The sequence below is a fragment of the Homo sapiens genome, chromosome 7 (genome assembly GCF_000001405.40).
Source record: "Homo sapiens chromosome 7, GRCh38.p14 Primary Assembly".
NCBI classification, from domain to species: domain Eukaryota; kingdom Metazoa; phylum Chordata; class Mammalia; order Primates; family Hominidae; genus Homo; species Homo sapiens.
Window position 1 is genome coordinate 103,437,002 of NC_000007.14, and position 17,685 is coordinate 103,454,686.

At 42.3% G+C, this 17,685-nt stretch overlaps 1 protein-coding gene and 1 long non-coding RNA gene across 15 annotated transcripts in view, besides 2 other annotated features; one reads left to right on the top strand and one right to left on the bottom strand.

Moving 5' to 3' along the window:
• Positions 1 to 9,206, bottom strand: part of SLC26A5 (solute carrier family 26 member 5) — a 93,478-nt gene extending 84,272 nt beyond the window's left edge. For 10 of the 14 annotated variants that reach the window (NR_135802.2, NR_135801.2, XR_007060034.1 and 7 more), the window contains exons 1-2: positions 9,097 to 9,206; positions 6,082 to 6,210 (exon numbers count right to left, since the gene is read on the bottom strand). The gene's annotated coding sequence lies outside the window, so the exon portion shown is untranslated. Of the gene's footprint in view, positions 1 to 6,081; positions 6,211 to 8,191; positions 9,052 to 9,096 lie in introns of those variants that run through there. The other 4 variants (NR_120442.1, NR_120443.1, NR_120441.1 and 1 more) reach the window with 2 other exon arrangements.
• The window catches only part of SLC26A5-AS1 (SLC26A5 antisense RNA 1), a 68,801-nt gene continuing 59,321 nt past the window's right edge, over positions 8,206 to 17,685 (top strand). The window contains exons 1-2 of the long non-coding RNA NR_110141.1: positions 8,206 to 9,518; positions 9,616 to 9,667. This is a non-coding gene — a long non-coding RNA (SLC26A5 antisense RNA 1). The remainder of the gene's footprint in view (positions 9,519 to 9,615; positions 9,668 to 17,685) is intronic.
• Positions 8,579 to 9,155: an enhancer, noted in NCBI's record as "H3K4me1 hESC enhancer chr7:103086027-103086603 (GRCh37/hg19 assembly coordinates)". NCBI's record gives its function as "activates a minimal SCP1, AML or CMV promoter by ChIP-STARR-seq in primed H9 embryonic stem cells {active_cell/tissue: H9 hESC(primed)}" and the evidence as "EXISTENCE:reporter gene assay evidence [ECO:0000049][PMID:30033119]".
• Positions 9,212 to 9,281: a silencer, noted in NCBI's record as "silent region_18511". NCBI's record gives its function as "represses an Ori minimal core promoter by ATAC-STARR-seq in GM12878 lymphoblastoid cells {active_cell/tissue: GM12878}" and the evidence as "EXISTENCE:reporter gene assay evidence [ECO:0000049][PMID:35858748]".

Sequence of the window (17,685 nt, forward strand, 5' to 3'; positions counted from 1 at the left end):
CACAGAATGGGAGTAAGTATTTGCAAACCACACATCTGACAAGTGCTTAATATCTAAAATATATAAGGAACTCAAACAACCTGATAGCAAGAAAACAAATAACACAATTAAAAAATGGGCAAAGGACCAGAATAGATATTTCTCAAAAGACGCAGAAGTGGCCAAGAGGTACATGAAAAAATGTCCAGCATTACCAATATTTAGGGAAATGCACTTTAAAAACACAATGATACATAATGTCACCTGTTAGAATGGCCTTCATCAAAAAGATGAATGATAACAAGTGTTGGTGAGCATGCAGAGAAAACAGAACTCTTACACATTGTTGGTGGGAGTGTATATTAGTACAACCATTATGGAAAATGCTATGACAGTTCCTCAGAAAACTGAAAATAGAACTACCATATGATCCAACAATCCCACTTCTGGGTATATATCCAAAGGAGTTGAAATCAATACGTCAAAGGGATATCTGCATTCCCATGTTTATTACAGCATTATTCACAATAGCTAAGACATGGAACCAATTTAAGTGTTCATTGATGGATGAATGAATAAAGAAAATGTGGTACATAGACACAGTGAAATATGATTCAGCCTTAAAAAAGAAAGAAATCATGTTATTTGTGATAATATGGATGAATCTGGAGGATATGATGCTATGTGAAAAAAGCCAGGTACAGAAAGACAAATACCACATCATCTCACTTACATGTGGAATCTAAAAAACTCACAGAAATAGAGAGTAGAATGGTGTTGACCAGAGGCTAGGTCATGGGTGGGAGGGAAGGAATGGGGAATTGTTGACTGAAGGGTACAAAGTTTAAGATAGACAAGAATAGGTTTTGAGAGCGATTGCACAGCAGGAGGACTGTGTGTTTTGTTGGGTCTGCACATTGCTTCATGAAAATTTGCATTGGTTTCCAACATTTAAAAATTGAGAAAGTTTTTATTAAAATGTAGTTTCAAGTTCTCCTTCCAAACTCATGTTCTATATGAAGTTCTAGAATAGGCAAAACTAATCTATGGTGATGGAAATCATAACTGTGACTTCAGCCCTCTATATCCATAGGAGAGTGGTGCCAGGACGCCACAAGGATATCAAAATCCACAGATGTTCAAGTCCCTAGTTGGCCCTCTCTATCTGCAGAACCTGTGGATACAAAGGGTCAACTGTATATTTTAAAAAAAACTAAGAGTAAATTTCAAATTATAAAAACCAGGTAAGTAAGCAGGTTAGTGGATATGTTAGCTTGATTTAATAATTCTCCATTGTATACATATATCAAAACATCACATTGTACCCATAAATATATAAAATTATAATTTATCAGTTAAAATATTCGTCATAATTTTAAAAAAATTTCTTTATATTGAGATTTCTTTTCTTTTTTTTTTTTTGAGATGGAGTCTCGCTCTCGACTCACTGCAACCTCTGCCTCCCAGGTTCAAGCAATTCTCCTCCCTCAGCCTCCCAAGTAGCTGGGATTACAGGCATGTGCCACCACACCCAGCTAATTTTCATAATTTTAGTAGAGACAGGGTTTCACCATGTTGGCCTGGCTGGTCTTGAACTCCTGACTTCAAGCGATCCACCCACCTCAGCCTCCCAAAGTGCTGGGATTACAAGTGTGAGCCACCGTGCCCAGCTATATTGAGATTTCATGTACACATAGTGAACTATACAGATCAGTATATGGTTTAATGAGTTTACTGTGCATTTCAGACTACTAGAAATAGAATCTTTCATTATCTAGAAATTTCCCTTCTGTCCCTACCCAGTCAATCTCTGATGTGTCGGCAACTATAGTTCTGATTTCTATCACCATAGATCAGTTTTGCCTATTCTAGAACTTCATCAGGAACATGAATTTGGAAGGAAAACTTGAAAATACATTTTAATAAAAAATTTCTCAATTTTTAAATGTTGGAAACCAATCCACATTTTCATGAAACAATGTGCAGACCCAACAAAACACATAGGTTCAACTATGCTCAACAGCAACACAACCACTTTGTGTCTGGTCTGCAGTATAAACTAAGAATACATTTTGCATAAGTTTATTATGATTTATTTCATGACTATTGGTTTGGGTGCTACCTGACAGTTTTTATTCTTTAGCAACTAGCAGCACATTTCTTAGAACAGGAGGGGCAGACTTATCTTCAGGGCAACAAGGAGAAAGGGAAACCGAAGCCCTCTCTGCAGCCAGCCTTGGGGGAAAGGAAGCACAAGGGGAGGAATGGGAAGAGGCTAATTTGGAGAGGAAAGGAAAACTGGGGGGACTATCCAGGAGGTATAACAAGGAAGAAAGAGAACACAGGCTGCTGCTGTTTCAACTAAACAGTAAGAAACTCCATCTTCACATCACCTTACAAGTATCCCACTGAAAAGGGGCCCTGTGTGATCTTTAGCACCCTCTCAAACTCTTGTCCACTGCTCCTTTCCTTGCTGTGGTCATTTTCTTTACCTTCCCACCTTGTCACTCTGCTCCAGTCACATGGACTTCCTTGCTGTCTGTTGTTGTTGTTTGTTTGTTTGTTTGTTTTGAGACAGAGTCTCACTCTGTTGCCCAGGCTGGAGTGCAGTGGTGCGATCACAGCTCGCTGCAACATCTGCTTCCCAGGTTCAAGTGATTCTGGCACCTCAGCCTACCGAGCAGCTGGGATTACAGGCATGCGCAACCATGCCCACCTAATTTTTGTGTTTTTAGTAGAAATGGGATTTCACCATGTTGGTCAGGCTGGTCTCGGACTCCTGGCCTCAAGCGATCTGCCCGCTTTGGCCTCCCAAAAGTGCTTGGATGATAGACGTGAGCCACCGCAGTTGGCCTCCTTGCTGTTTTATGAACATGCCAAGCACTTGTCTGCCTCAGGGCCTTTGCACTGGCCAGGATGCTCTACTCCCAGATAGACTCGTAACTTCCTCCTTCACCACCTTCCGGTCTATGCTCAATATCACTTTCTCAGGGGAAGCTTTTTCTGACCACCTTCTTTCAAAAATTTCACAGCCAACACCTCTACCATCTTCTTTCTAGATATATTTTTATCCATAGCACTTAACACTATCTAACCTACATGATGGTTTACTTCTTTATTTTCTGTCTCTCTTCCCCTCTTCATAAGAATGTAAGCTACATGAAGTCAGGGGCATAGGGGGAACTCATTAGATATTTGTTGGATAATGAGTGACTCTAGGAAGAAAGGAAGGAAATAATAAAGCAAGAAAGGAAGCAATGAAAACCCTTGTTACCTTTGAGATTGTTGTTAAAAGTGTTCAATAAACAGGCACTGGCTAAGAAATTTTTACCATTTCTAATTATTTTGCAAAATTGTAATGCTTTTTGGAAGTAAAGATTTAAAAAGCAAACTAATAATAATCCTAAGGACTAGCACAACACTATTCTTATTATCTTAAGAAACTAGATGTATGGAAGGATACATTTTTATTTATAAACACATAAATGGGCCATTGAGTTTAGTAATAATTAAGTTTCCATTAGAGTTGAAATTATGACAAATCTATCTTTTCCTGGTACACTTCTTCCTACTTTAATTCATTTTAAGAAGTAGGTCAGGAATAAATTATGAAATAACAAAACAGCAAGTGCCCAATACTACTAAATCTTTGGGAACAACGATCAGCAATAAACATATAAAATGACTCCAATCCTAGAATTTTGTTTTGTTTGTTTACTGGCAATGAGTACAACCAGCTCTAGGTGGCTGGAGAGGTGGGGGCTGAGCTAGTTTTGTAGGTCTGCATTGGATTTTTGACATCAGGTAAAGCCTACTCCTCTGAGATACAGAGGTAAAGAACTTTACTGCCAGTAGCTTTCCACTCTAGGAAAAAATATGCTTCAACCTAAGCTGTGATTTAGAATTAAGTCAGGCCCTGGGATTGGCCAATGCTGGATTAGACCAAGTGTGTCCAGGCTGCCAGTTCACCCCTGGAGACAGCACTGCATGCACTGTGTATGGAAGGCTGCAGGGAACATGAGGGAATCAAGGGCCATAAGCCCACATTTGTCAACATGGAGCAGGTGGGATATGGTGATCTGCCTGCATTTTAGCAAGCTTGAGAATAGGCTTATAGCAGAGATAAGACTAATCGAGAAAGAAAAGAGAGAAATTAAGTGCAGCTCCTGGTAACCGACGTGCCTCTTACCCTTGTCAGTTTTTCTTCCTTAATGCCTTTCCATTTTTGCTCAACTCATGTCTGTCTCTCTTACCGATTTGACAGTCACATATATACACTGTTTTTTGTCTTCTAGGTATTTTGGGAAATGAAAGGTAGTAGGAGATTAAAAGAAGAGTAGGGTAAACAAATACCTTTCATGGATTACAATTTAGTAAGTCCTAACTCTAAATTTAAGAAGAATTTTCCAAGTGTGAAAATCTACAGAATTTACAATGTAATGGCAACATGATTAGGTCCCAAGAAATAATTAAGGTAAACAATGTGCTCTTTTTCTCCTCTCCCAGTTCTGGTAACTCAATAGTCTTCAACTACTTGAGAAGGTGTGAGGATCATTTTTTATCTCAGTTTGGCCACTAAAGTTCACATTTCAGCTACGATCAAGTTGATCATGCTTATCCCCTGCTGACACCTTCTTCCCCACCTCAACAAGTCACAGATCACTTCAAGGAGAAAATTTCAAGAGGCTATTAAACACTGGCATGGATACTCAGAGCAGAGATGTTATCGTCTCTGGGGACCTTTAGGAACAGCTGATCATCCTGGATAGGCAGAATTACACCTAATTCAGTCCATCAAAAACTACTGGGTGCTGCAAAGTCAGCAAAGCATTGTGGGAATATCAAAAAGGTGAGCAGGCACAGCAGCTCCCCCCGAATAACCTGAAATGGCTTCATCTGGACTGCTTCTGAGAAAGGCATGTTTAGGTTTGGTTACCACAGAGGAGGCGCAATGCTGGGCCAGGCTATGTTTAACAGGGACTCTGTGGGCCTGCTTTCCATCCTAAGATGACACAATCTTAGAATCAGTTCTTAGCAATCACTTAACCCAGTGATTCTCAATCCTGACTGGACATTAGTATTTGCTGGGGTTACTTTTAAAAAATAAAGATGCCTGGGCCTATGCCAGTCCATTGTCTCCTCCCCACCTTCATCACTCTTTTTTTTTTAATTTTCTTTGAGACTGAGTCTCGCTCTTGTTGCCCAGGCTGGAGTATAGTGGCGCAATCTCGGCTCACTGCAACCTCCACCTCCTGGGTTTGATTCTTCTGTTTCAGCCTCCCGAGTAGTTGGGATTACAGGCATGTGCCACCACGCCTGGCTAATTTTTATATTTTTAGTAGAGACAGGGTTTTGCTATGTTGGCCAAGCTGGTCTCGAACTCCTGGCCTCAAATGGTACACCCTCCTCGGTCTCCCAAAGTGCTGGGATTACAGGTGTGAGCCACTGAGCCTGGCCCACACTTTCACTATTGAAAACGATTGTATTCTGGAGGGCCATGAGGGAGGGGACAGGTCTTTTTCAAAATCTAGGGAACACTAAGGACTTTATCCTCAGAATAAATCTGATTAATAATTAATCAGAATCTCTGTTGGGTTTTTTCTAAATAAACTCCCAGGCAATGCAAATGCAATGGAATTATACATTGGTTGCTGAGAACCATTGGTCCCATAAAACACCCTCATTTTATACGTAGAAAAATTAAGGTCCAAAGAATTTAACTAACCTGTGACTTGCCCAAGATCATATGCCTGGTTAGTGGCAGAGCTTGGCTTAAAACCATGATCTCCATTAATTTACAAATCCAGTAAGCATCTATTAAGTACATTCTAGGGTTGTTGGCCCACCACCTAGTTGCCACTCAAGAATACTGTAAGTCAAAGCTGGTTGATAGCTAAGGATATCTTAGGCTGATCCTGATCCAAGTTAAAAGGTAAGTGTAAGGTGTGATGGTTCTGGCATTCTGTCTTATACTTTTCTTCCAAATAGTGGTGTGTGATTTAGACCTCTGGAAATTTTGAGGAATCCTTTGATCTGGATAAAATCCATTACTACCTCTGACCCACTCTCCTATTTACTAGTTCCAGGGGGCCGTCTACTTACCCAGATCCAATGTGCAGCACAAAAGTCGGGACAGGGGACAAGATCCCCCGCTGGGAGCTCCAGTGCAGTTCACTGAAGCCTTGATCACTGAGGCTGAGAGCAGGAGAAGGGAGAGCTCGCTCCTTGGCCCTATGTATAGAAGAAGAAAAGGAAGTTAATTCAGCAGTTGTTGGTTTGTTTTTTGAAAGAAGCTATGTCCAAAATATTTCTTAACGCTCTCCTTTCATTCCTAATACCAACCCACTCCCTTCCAAGGCACAGCTACTGCTATCACAGTGGCTTACATGCGATAGACTAATTATATATAATTATATCTTCTTCCTAAGGGTGAACTGCTAGGATGTGAGAAAGATATAGTTCAATTTTTGAACTCAGCCATTCCCATATGTAGCAATTCATGAATACAAGTTTGCATATGAGAAATTGTGTCCAGAATGGGGCATCATCAGTAGTGGGAGCAAATCCTCTTAGAGCAGTTGCCTTGAAAAGAGCAAGAAAAGTAGAAAAATGAGAGACTCATAATGTTCAAGATAAGAGTTGATCTTGATCAATTAAAAACTTAATTAGGCTAATCTGTCTTCAGTCTTTTACAAAGAATACAATTATTCCTTCCCATTCACAGAATACTTACTCAAGGGGCCATGTATTTATTCTATTTGAAAGTAAATTAAGTCATATCCACTCAGTTTGTGAATTTACCCACATTGCTTCATTTCCCTTTCCCTCCATCTACCTATCCTCTGACTAATTCGCTGACCCGTTCTGAAGTGAGCTTTCATAACCTGGGCACCAGGAATCCTCTGAAAGGTGTACAAGATTTTGAATGGGTGAGCTTTTTTATTTTTTTTCTGGGGTAAGTCCCTAGTGTCCTCCAGATTTTGAAAGAGTCCTGTCCCCTCCTTCATAATCCTCTAGAATACAATTGTTTTCAAGGGTGAAGGTGGGGAGAAGATAATGATGTTGATAGTTGTTGGTACCTACAATAAAACATTTTATGAAGTTGGTCCTGGAACTAGTCTTCAAAAGAAGGATTAAAAGAGTTCATGAAATTGGATCTATCCTCCAACAGAATGGACTTACATAAAATGTACTCTGAGTCACAAAATGATTAAATTTATCCATGCTGTGTCTTTTGTGCAAGATTTCACTAGTTTGAAACCAAAAGAAAGGAAAATCATCATCTTATTTTTCTTAACTTTATTAACTTAATGATAATGAGAACACCTGGGAATACGGACGTGCTTCCTATTTATCATGATTTCCCTAGAAAACTGTTTCACTTGGGTTACTAAAATGCAGACTACCTGCAACGGTAGAAAAATTAAGATACCAGGGGGCAACACATGATATTTAGAATGAGATGAAAACTCAACTGACTTTGATCGTCAATTAAATAGGCAGTGCACACCTGCATCTACACCTCACAAGGCAATCCATTGATTGTTAGAAACTTCCTCAGTCTTCCATTCTTCTGTTCTTAGCAAAGCGCCTCTATGCGAAAAGCACTCAAATACTTGTTGGATTGAGTCAATTCTTTTGGTTTCACTCATAAATTAATGAGGAACGTGTAACTCTGTATAGTTTCAGAGTAGTTAAAGAGAGAAAAAAAGAAATGCTACATAAGAGAATTGGGGCTTCAGGTGTTACCTAATAGACTAGAAAGCTTTCCAAGAGTGCACTTAAGATATGAGCTATAGCAACCTTACCTAGGCAATTCTTCACCCTAAGTTTCTTTCTAATGCAAATTAGTTTGAATTTCTCTCTCTTCCCTCCTGTCCTTTGCCTGAAAGTCTTCTGATACAAAGCAATACTACCGTAATTAGAAGGAATGCCTGACAAAAATACATTTTAAATTTCATTTTCAAAAAGGTTGATACTTCGTATTGCATACTCCGAATTCCCCTGCATTTCTATGCTGTAAATTCCTAAACTTTAGATAATACATTTATATCTAGTGCACATTGTTCAGTTTTCAGATAGGAAAAAGCTAAATCTCAGTCTGTGCCCGCAAAAAGTTGATATTTTTTGTTGTTTTAAGAGTCTCCATGAATGTTGTTTAAATTCTAGAATCCACAGTACTCATCGAAGCTAGGAAAAGAATTTTGCCCACCCCACAGCGTATCTGAGGCTTTCTTCACAGCTAGCTGATCGGATCCTTGCAGCTGTTTCTTCTGTAGGTCTCGGAGCTCACTGAGAACGTCCAGCACGCCTTCCCGGCGGGGCCCGGCCCAGGTGCGCACTAGATGAGGCAGTCAACCAAGTCAATTGGTTCCCGATCAACTAAATCTCTCCTAAAAATAAACACTGCCGCGAGCTTCGAGAGTTCAGCGTGTCAGAGCCTCTATGATGGCAGAGCACCTGCCGCGATGCCTGATTGGTAGGGAGAAGGATTTCCCGGGAGGGGGCCAATACCAAATTTTAGGGCTGTTAGGCTCTGAGCAGTCCCTTCGTGACCGGATAAGTCAGAGACCCGGGGTTTGAGCCTTGCCCGGCGCTGAGCGGAGGGCCCAGTTTCGGGACCACAGCCTTGCTCCCTGGGAGCTCCGGGCGGCCAATGCCGGGCAAGCCCAGCCCGGCACAGGAGGAGGCAGGGCCCGTCTCCGGAAAGAGGGCCAGAGGCAGAACTGAGGGCCTGGTTTTGTGTAATTCGATTTGGATACAAACAGGCCAGACCCAAACTGGAAACGGCGAAGGGCTGGATTAGCACCGAAGGGATTCGAGGAGGCAAACGGGAAGTAAAAATGCTGTGTGGAGCTGCAGAGGGCAAGGGGACAGGGGTTGCAAAGGAAAGAGCTTCGTGAGACTTTCTCCTTCCCGGCGTAGGGACCAGCAGAGTGCGGGCAGGTCAGCCCTGTCACCGGTTCGTTTAGGGAAAAAGCGCGACATGGGGCCTGGGAGACAGGGGCAGAGGCGGTGACAGCGAGGGCCCCTGCTCGGGTGGGCCCGCGGGCCTCAGCTCAGTCCCCTCCCGAGGGACCGCGACCCCCGGCCCCGCGGCCGCCCGCGCGCACTCACCAGCCCGGGCTGCCCTGGGCGGAGCCGCCCCGCCGCGCTCCACAGCCGCTGCCTCTTCGACGCGCGCGCTGCCTCCAGGTGCGGCTCTAGGAGGAGGCGCCGCGGGCAGTGCCGGCCGCGCCCCGCGACTCCCGGTAACCCGAGCCCGCCCCGCCCCGCTAGGGCCAGGCCCCGCCGCCACCCTCCGCGCTGGGACGCCGGGGCGCGGGCATCCCTGCCGCCTACGGATCTCTTCCCAAGCACCTAGAACTTTCCAAAGCGTGCTTGGAATTTAACACCTTGGTCGTCGATCCCCGCAAATATACTCTGATGAGACCGGCTTTCTTCCCATACCGCCCAGGAGTTTCTCCAGGTGGCATTCCTGTCGCCTTGAGGTGGAACATCAGTAGAGGCTCGAGGCTGAAGCAAGCACAATACACAAGGTATAGCGTTCAAGTGGAAAACATTGCGTATTATGATTTTAAAATGAAAAAAAAACACAAAAAACCTGACTTATCTTTTCAATTACAATCATTATAGAGACTCCGATTCGTACAGGAACATTTCGAAAACAGGAAATCCTGAGGACAATGTGAGTATGAGTTTTTTTTTTTTTTTAATTTTCAAAAATCTTTGATGAACTGCCTTTGGTTAACACTTGGTTTGCAAATATTGACTATTGCACGACAAGGCAATGCATGATAAGTTATTTTCTGGGCATTTAAGTTAGAATTTATAAAACAACTTTTGCTTTTTATTAAGTAGAATAATGTAACACGTTACCCCAAGCTGGGAGAATTGCTTGAGTCCAGGAGTTTGAGACCAGCCTGGGCAACAAAGCGAGACTCCGTCTCTTAAAAAAAAAAATTAGATAGGAAATAGCTTGTTTTGCATCTAGCAACTGGGATACAAGAGAGCACCGCAGCCAGAGTGCCGGGCTCCAAGAGGGTGAGGGGTAGAAAATGATTTCAGATACATACTTCCCTCTGGCTTTATGCCTTAGCAAGGATTATAGTTGGTTCATTAAGAGCATCTTTTTTTTTTTTTTTGCTTTGTGCATTTCTGCGCGTGCACACTGTAGTGACACGTGGCGGACTAGCTGTTTGGTCTTAAAGCTGTAAATGCACGCCTGCAGACACCAGAGGCTTCTGCCAAGGAGACCCCACCTCCAGAACCTGGGCCAGGCCTTTGGCTGGGAGCGCTGGTGCTGTTCTTCATCCGAGAGGAAAGGCTAGAGATTCCCTCCCTACTCCACACGAGGGCGATCTCTTCAAGGGCACCAGACCACTCTCCGCGTCCCTAGCTGAGGAAACCAAATTTGCTTTTCTCCACGCTTTTGAACATCTCTAAACAAATCTTAATAGGGTAATTTACTAAGGAGGAGTTGGGCTCCTGGGACGTGCATTTCTGGTGTCCTTCATTTGCCACTTGGCCTTTGCCATCCTATGAAATTATTTTGTCACATACCTGTCTGTAGCCCAGTACTTCTTACACTTTAATGTGCATAGGAATCACCTGCGGATCCCGTTAAAAACGCAGATTCTGATTCAGTAGGTCTGGGGTGGGGTCTGAGATGTGCCTTTCTAACAGGCCCCTGGGTGATCCTGATAGGCTACTGGAGGACCAAACTTTGAGTAGCAACACTGGAGACAGTTGGATGATAAACTGGTTTTGCCGGTAGCACCAGGTACCTAATATACTAACACAATAATGGCAATGTTGCTAACACCTGTTCAGTGTTTACATGTAGTAGGCACTGTTCTGAGTACATGTATTTACTTGTATAGATATTGCTATTATTTCTGGTTTAGAGATGAGTTTGCTTTTAATATGAGTCTTCCCCACCCCCTACCCCCTTCCCATCCTTGCTGGCTTAATTACATTTATTTGGTATTAGAATATTAGGGAGAGTATCAGGAAGAACAGCTAGTGGATGCTAGACCTTAATACCTAGGTGATGGGGTTGACCTGTGCAGCAAACCACCATGACACACGTTTACCTGTGTAATAAATCTGCACATCCTGGACATGTACTCCAGAACTTAAAAGCGGATAAAAGAAAAAATTAAAGAATATTAAAAAGATCTGAAAACGTATACTCAGGGAATTTTCTTCCCTCCTTTGTTCCACACATTCTAGCCAATCCTGTGTGAGTAAACAATGTCATGATTTCTCATCTATTCTTCCTGTGTTTTTGTAAAGCCACAGATATTTGTTTACATGTTCTTGGCTGCCTGCCTGCCTTCCTTCCTTTCCTTCCTTCCTTCCTTTCCTTCCTTCCTTCCTTGCCTTCCTTCTTTTATTATGCTTTAAGTTCTGGGATACACGTGCAGAATGTGCAGGTTTGTTACATAGCTATACAAGTGCCAGGGTGGTTTGCTGCACCCATCAACCCGTCATCTACATTAGGAATTTCTCCTAATGTTATCCCTCCCCTAGCCCCCCACCTCCGACAGGCCCCAGTGTGTGATGTTCCCCTCCCTGTGTCCAGGTGTTCTCATTGTTCAACTCCCACCTATGAGTGAGAACATGAGGTGTTGGGTTTCCTGTTCTTGTGTTAGTCTGCTGAGAATGACAGTTTCCAGCTTCATCCATGTCCCTGCAAAGGACATGAACTCACCCTTTTTTATGGTTGCATAGTATTCTATGGTGTATATGTGCCACATTTACTTTATCCGGTCTATCATTGATGGGCATTTGGGTTGGTTCCATGTCTTTGCTATTGTGAATAGTGCTGCAATAAACATACATGTGTATGTGTCTTTAGAGTAGAATGATTTATAATCCTTGGGGTATATACCTAGTAATGGGATTGCTGGGTCAAATGGTAATTCTAATTCTAGATCCTTAAGGAATCACTACACTGTCTTCCACAATGGTTGAACTAATTTACACTCCCACCAACAGCATAAAAGCTTTCCTGTTTCTCCACATCCTCTCCAGCATCTGTTGTTTCCTGACTTTTTAATGATCACCATTCTAACTAGCATGAGATGGTATCTCATTGTGGTTTTGATTTGCATTTCTCTAATGACTAGTGATGATGAGCATTTTTTCATATGTCTGTTGGCTGTGTAAATGTCTTCTTTTGAGAAGTGTCTGTTCATATCCTTTGCCCACTTTTTGATGGGGTTGTTTTTTTCTTGTAAATTTGTTTAAGTCCTTTGTAGATTGTGGATATTAGCCCTTTGTCAGATGGGTAGATGGTAAAAATTTTCTCCCGTTCTTTTGGTTGCCTGTTGACTCTGATGATTGTTTCTTTTGCTGTGCAGAAGCTCTTTAGTTTAATTAGATCCCATTTGTCAATTTTGGCTTTTGTTGCCATTGCTTTTGGTGCTTTAGACATGAAGTCCTTGCCCATGCCTATGTCCTGAACGGTATTGCCTAGGTTTGCTTCTAGGGTGTTTATGGTTTTAGGTCTAACATGTAAGTCTTTAATCCATCTTGAATTAATTTTAGTACAAGGTGTAAGGAAGGGATCCAGTTTCAGCTTTCTACATATGGCTAGCCAGTTTTCCCAGCACCATTTATTAAATAGGGAATCCTTTCCCCATATCTTGTTTTTGTCAGGTTTGTCAAAGATCAGATAGTTGTAGATATGCGGCGTTATTTCTGAGGGCTCTGATCTGTTCTATTGGTCTATATCTCTGTTTTGGTACCAGTACCTTGCTGTTTTGGTTACTGTGTAGTATAGTTTGAAGTCAGGTAGCATGATGCCTCCAGCTTTGTTCTTTTGGCTCAGGATTGACTTGGCAATGCGGGCTCTTTTTTGGTTCCATATGAATTTTAAAGTAGTTTTTTCCAATTCTGTGAAGAAAGTCATTGGTAGCTTGATGGGGATGGCATTGAATCTGTAAATGACCTTGGGCAGTGTGGCCATTTTCACGATATTGATTCTTCCTACCCATGAGCATGGAATGTTCTTCCATTTGTTTGTGTCCTCTTTTATTTCATTGAGCAGTGGTTTGTAGTTCTCCTTGAAGAGGTCCTTCACATCCCTTGTAAGTTGGATTCCTAGGTATTTTATTCTCTTTGAAGCAATTGTGAATGGGAGTTCACGCATGATTTGGCTCTCTGTTTGTCTGTTATTGGCGTATAAGAATGCTTGTGATTTTTTGCACATTGATTTTGTGTCCTGAGACTTTGCTGAAGTTGCCTATCAGCTTAAGGAGATTTTGGGCTGAGACGATGGGGTTTTCTAGATATACAATCATGTCATCTGCAAACAGGGACAATTTGACTTCCTCTTTTCCTAATTGAATACCCTTTATTTCCTTCTCCTGCCTGATTGCCCTGGCCAGAACTTCCAACACTATGTTGAATAGGAGTGGTGAGAGAGGGCATCCCTGTCTTGTGCCAGTTTTCAAGGGGAATGCTTCCAGTTTTTGCCCATTCAGTATGATATTGGCTGTGGGTCTGTCATAGATAGCTCTTATTTTGAGATACGTCCCATCAGTACCTAATTTATTGAGAGTTTTTAGCATGAAGGGTTGTTGAATTTTGTCAAAGGTCTTTTCTGCAGGTATTGAGATAATCATGTGGTTTTTGTTGTTGGCTCTGTTTATATGCTGGATTACGTTTATTGATTTGTGTATGTTGAAGCAGCCTTGCATCCCAGAGATGAAGCCCACTTGATCATGGTGGATAAGATTTTTGATGTGCTGCTGGATTCGGTTTGCCAGTATTTTATTGAGGATTTTTGCATCGATGTTCATCAGGGATATTGGTCTAAAATTCTCCTTCTTTGTTGTGTCTCTGCCAGGTTTTGGTATCAGGATGATGCTGGCCTCATAAAATGATTTAGGGAGGATTCCCTCTTTTTCTATTGATTGGAATAGTTTCAGAAGGAATGGTAGCAGCTCCTCCTTGTACCCCTGGTAGAATTCGGCTGTGAATCCATCTGGTCCTGGACTTTTTTTGGTTGGTAAGCTATTAATTATTGCATCAATTTCAGAGCCTGTTATTGGTCTATTCAGAGATTCAACTTCTTCCTGGTTTAGTCTTGGGAGGGTGTATGTGTCGAGGAATTTATGCATTTCTTCTAGATTTTCTAGTTTATTTGCGCAGAGGTGTTTATAGTATTCTCTGATGGTAGTTTGTATTTCTGTGGGATTGGTGGTGATATCCCCTTTATCATTTTTTATTGCATCTATTTGATTCTTCTCTCTTTTCTTCTTTATTAGTCTTGCTATCGGTCTATCAATTTTGTTGATCTTTTCAAAAAACCAGCTCCTGGATTCATTGATTATTTTGAAGGGTTTTTTGTGTCTCTATTTCCTTCAGTTCTGCTCTGATCTTAGTTATTTCTTGCCTTCTGCTAGCTTTTGAATGTATTTGCTCTTGCTTTTCTAGTTCTTTTAATTTTGATGTTAGGGTGTCAATTTTAGATCTTTCCTGCTTTCTCTTGTGGGCATTTAGTGCTATGAATTTCCCTCTAAATACTGCTTTTACTGTGTCCCAGAGATTCTGGTATATTGTATCTTTGTTCTCGTTGGTTTCAAAGAACATCTTTATTTCTGCCTTCATTTCTTTATGTACCCAGTAGTCATTCAAGAGCGGGTTGTTCAGTTTCCATGTAGTTGAGCGGTTTTGAGTGAGTTTCTTAATCCTGAGTTCTAGTTTGATTGCACTGTGGTCTGAGAGACAGTTTATTATAATTTCTGTTCTTTTATATTTGCTGAGGAGTGCTTTACTTCCAACTATGTGGTCAATTTTGGAATAGGTGTGGTGTGGTGCTGAAAAGAATGTATATTCTGTTGATTTGGGATGGAGAGTTCTGTAGATGTCTATTAGGTCCACTTGGTGCAGAGCTGAGTTCAGTTCCTGGATATCCTTGTTAACTTTCTGTCTCGTTGATCTAATGTTGACAGTGGGGTGTTAAAGTCTCCCATTATTATGGTGTGGGAATCTAAGTCTCTTTGTAGGTCTCTAAGGACTTGCTTTATGAATCTGGGTGCTCCTGTATTGGGTGCATATATATTGAGGATAGTTAGCTCTTCTTGTTGAATTGATCCCTTGACCATTACGTAATGGCCTTCTTTGTCTCTCTTGATCTTTGTTGAAAATTCTTTTCTTTAAGAATGTTGAATGTAGGCCCCCACTCTCTTCTGGCTTGTAGAGTTTCTGCCAAGAGATCAGCTGTTAGTCTGATGGGCTTCACTTTGTGGGTAACCCGACCTTTCTCTCTGGCTGCCCTTAACATTTTTTCGTTCATTTCAACTTTGGTGACTCGTGACTCTGACAATTATGTGTCTTAGAGTTGCTCTTCTCGAGGAGTATCTTAGTGGCGTTCTCTGTATTTCCTGAATTTGAATGTTGGTCTGCCTTGCTGGATTGGGGAAGTTCTCCTGGATAATATCCTGCAGAGTGTTTTCCAACTTGGTTCCATTCTCCCCTTCTCTTTCAGGTACACCAATCAGACGTAGATTTGGTCTTCACACATAGTCCCATATTTCTTGGAGGCTTTGTTCATTTCTTTTAATTCTTTTTTCTCTAAACTTCTCTTCTCGCTTCATTTCATTCATTTGATCTTCCATCACTGATACACTTTCTTCCAGTTGATCAAATCGGCTACTGAGGCTTGTGCATTCGTCACGTCGTTCTCGTGCCTTGGTTTTCACCTCCATCAGGTCCTTTAAGGACTTCTCTGCATTGGTTATTCTAGTTAGCCATTCGTCTAATTTTTTTTCAAGGTTTTTAACTTCTTTGCCATGGGTTCAAACTTCCTCCTTTAGCTTGGAGTAGTTTGATCGTCTGAAGCCTTCTTCTCTCAGCTCGTCAAAGTCATTCTCCATCCAGCTTTGTTCCGTTGCTGGTGAGGAGCTGTGTTCCTTTGAAGGAGGAGAGGCGCTCTGATTTTTAGAGTTTCCAGTTTTTCTGCTCTGTTTTTCCTCATCTTTGTGGTTTTATCTACCTTTGGTCTTTGACGATGGTGACGTACAGATGGGGTTTTGGTGTGGATGTCCTTTCTGTTTGTTAGTTTTCCTTCTAACAGTCAAGACCCTCAGCTGCAGGTCTGTTGGAGTTTGCTGGAGGTCCACTCCAGACCCTGTTTGCCTAGGTATCAGCAGTGGAGGCTGCACAACAGCGGATATTGGTGAACAGCAAATGTTGCTGCCTGATCATTCCTCTGGAAGTTTTGTCTCAGAGGAGTACCTGGCCGTTTGAGGTGTCAGTCTGCCCCTACTTGGGGGTGCCTCCCAGTTAGGCTACTCGGGAGTCAGGGACCCACTTGAGGAGGCAGTCTGTCTGTTCTCAGATCTCCAACTACGTGCTGGGAGAACCACTACTCTCTTCAAAGCTGTCAGACAGGGACATTTAAGTCTACAGAGGTTTCTGCTGCCTTTTGTTTGGCTATGCCCTGCCCCGAGAGGTGAAGTCTATAGAGGAAGGCAGGCCTCCTTGAGCTGTGGTGGGCTCCATCCACTTCGAGCTTCCTGGCTGCTTTGTTTACCTACTCAAGCCTCAGCAATGGCGGGCGCCCCTCCCACTGCCTCGCTGCCACCTTGCAGTTTGATCTCAGATTGCTGTGCTAGCAATGACCGAGGCTCCGTGGGCGCAGGACCCTCTGTGCCAGGCATGGGATATAATCTTCTGGTGTGCTGTTTGCTAAGACCATTGGAAAAGCGCAGTATTTGGGTGGGAGAGACCTGATTTTCCAGGTGCCATCTGTCCGGGAGTTCCCCGACCTCATGCACTTCCCAGGTGAGGCGATGCCTCGCCCTGCTTCTGCTAACGCTCAGTGCGCTGCACCCACTATCCTGTACCCACTGTCTGACACTCCCCAGTGAGATGAACCTGGTACCTCAGTTGGAAATGCAGAAATCCCCGTCTTCTGTGTCGCTCATGCTGGGAGCTGTAGACTGGAGCTGTTCCTATTCAGCCGTCTTGGCTCCACCCCCACCAAAGTAGTTTTTTCTAATTCTGTGAAGAAAGTCAGTGGTAGCTTGATGGGGATAGCATTGAATCTATAAATTACTTTGGGCAGTATGGCCATTTTCTATTGTTTGGAATAGTTTCAGAAGGAATGGTACCAGCTCCTCTTTGTACCTCTGGTAGAATTCGGCCGTGAATCTGTCTGGTCCTGGACTGTTTTTGGTTGGTAGGCTATTAATTACTACCTCAATTTCAGAAACTGTTATTGGTCCATTCAGAGATTCAACTTCTTCCTGGTAGTCTTGGGCAGGTATATGCATCCAGGAATTTATCCATTTTTCGTAGATTTTCCAATTTTTTTGCATAGAGGTGTTTATAGTATTCTCTGATGGTAGTTTGTATTTCTGTGGGATCGATGGTTATATCCCCTTTATCCCTTTTTATTGCATCTATTTGATTCTTCTCTCTTTTCTTTATTAGTCTGGCTAGCAGTGTATTTATTTTGTTGATCTTTTCAAAAAACCAGCTCCTGGATTCATTGATTTTTTTTTTTTTGAGGGGTTTTTCGTACCTCTATCTCCTTCAGTTCTGCTCTGATCTTAGTTACTTCTTGCCTTCTAGCTTTTCAATTTGTTTGCTCTTGCTTCTCTAGTTCTTTTAATTGTGATGTTAGGGGGTCGATTTTAGATCTTTCCTCCTTTCTCTTGTGGGCATTTAGTGCTATAAATTTCCCTC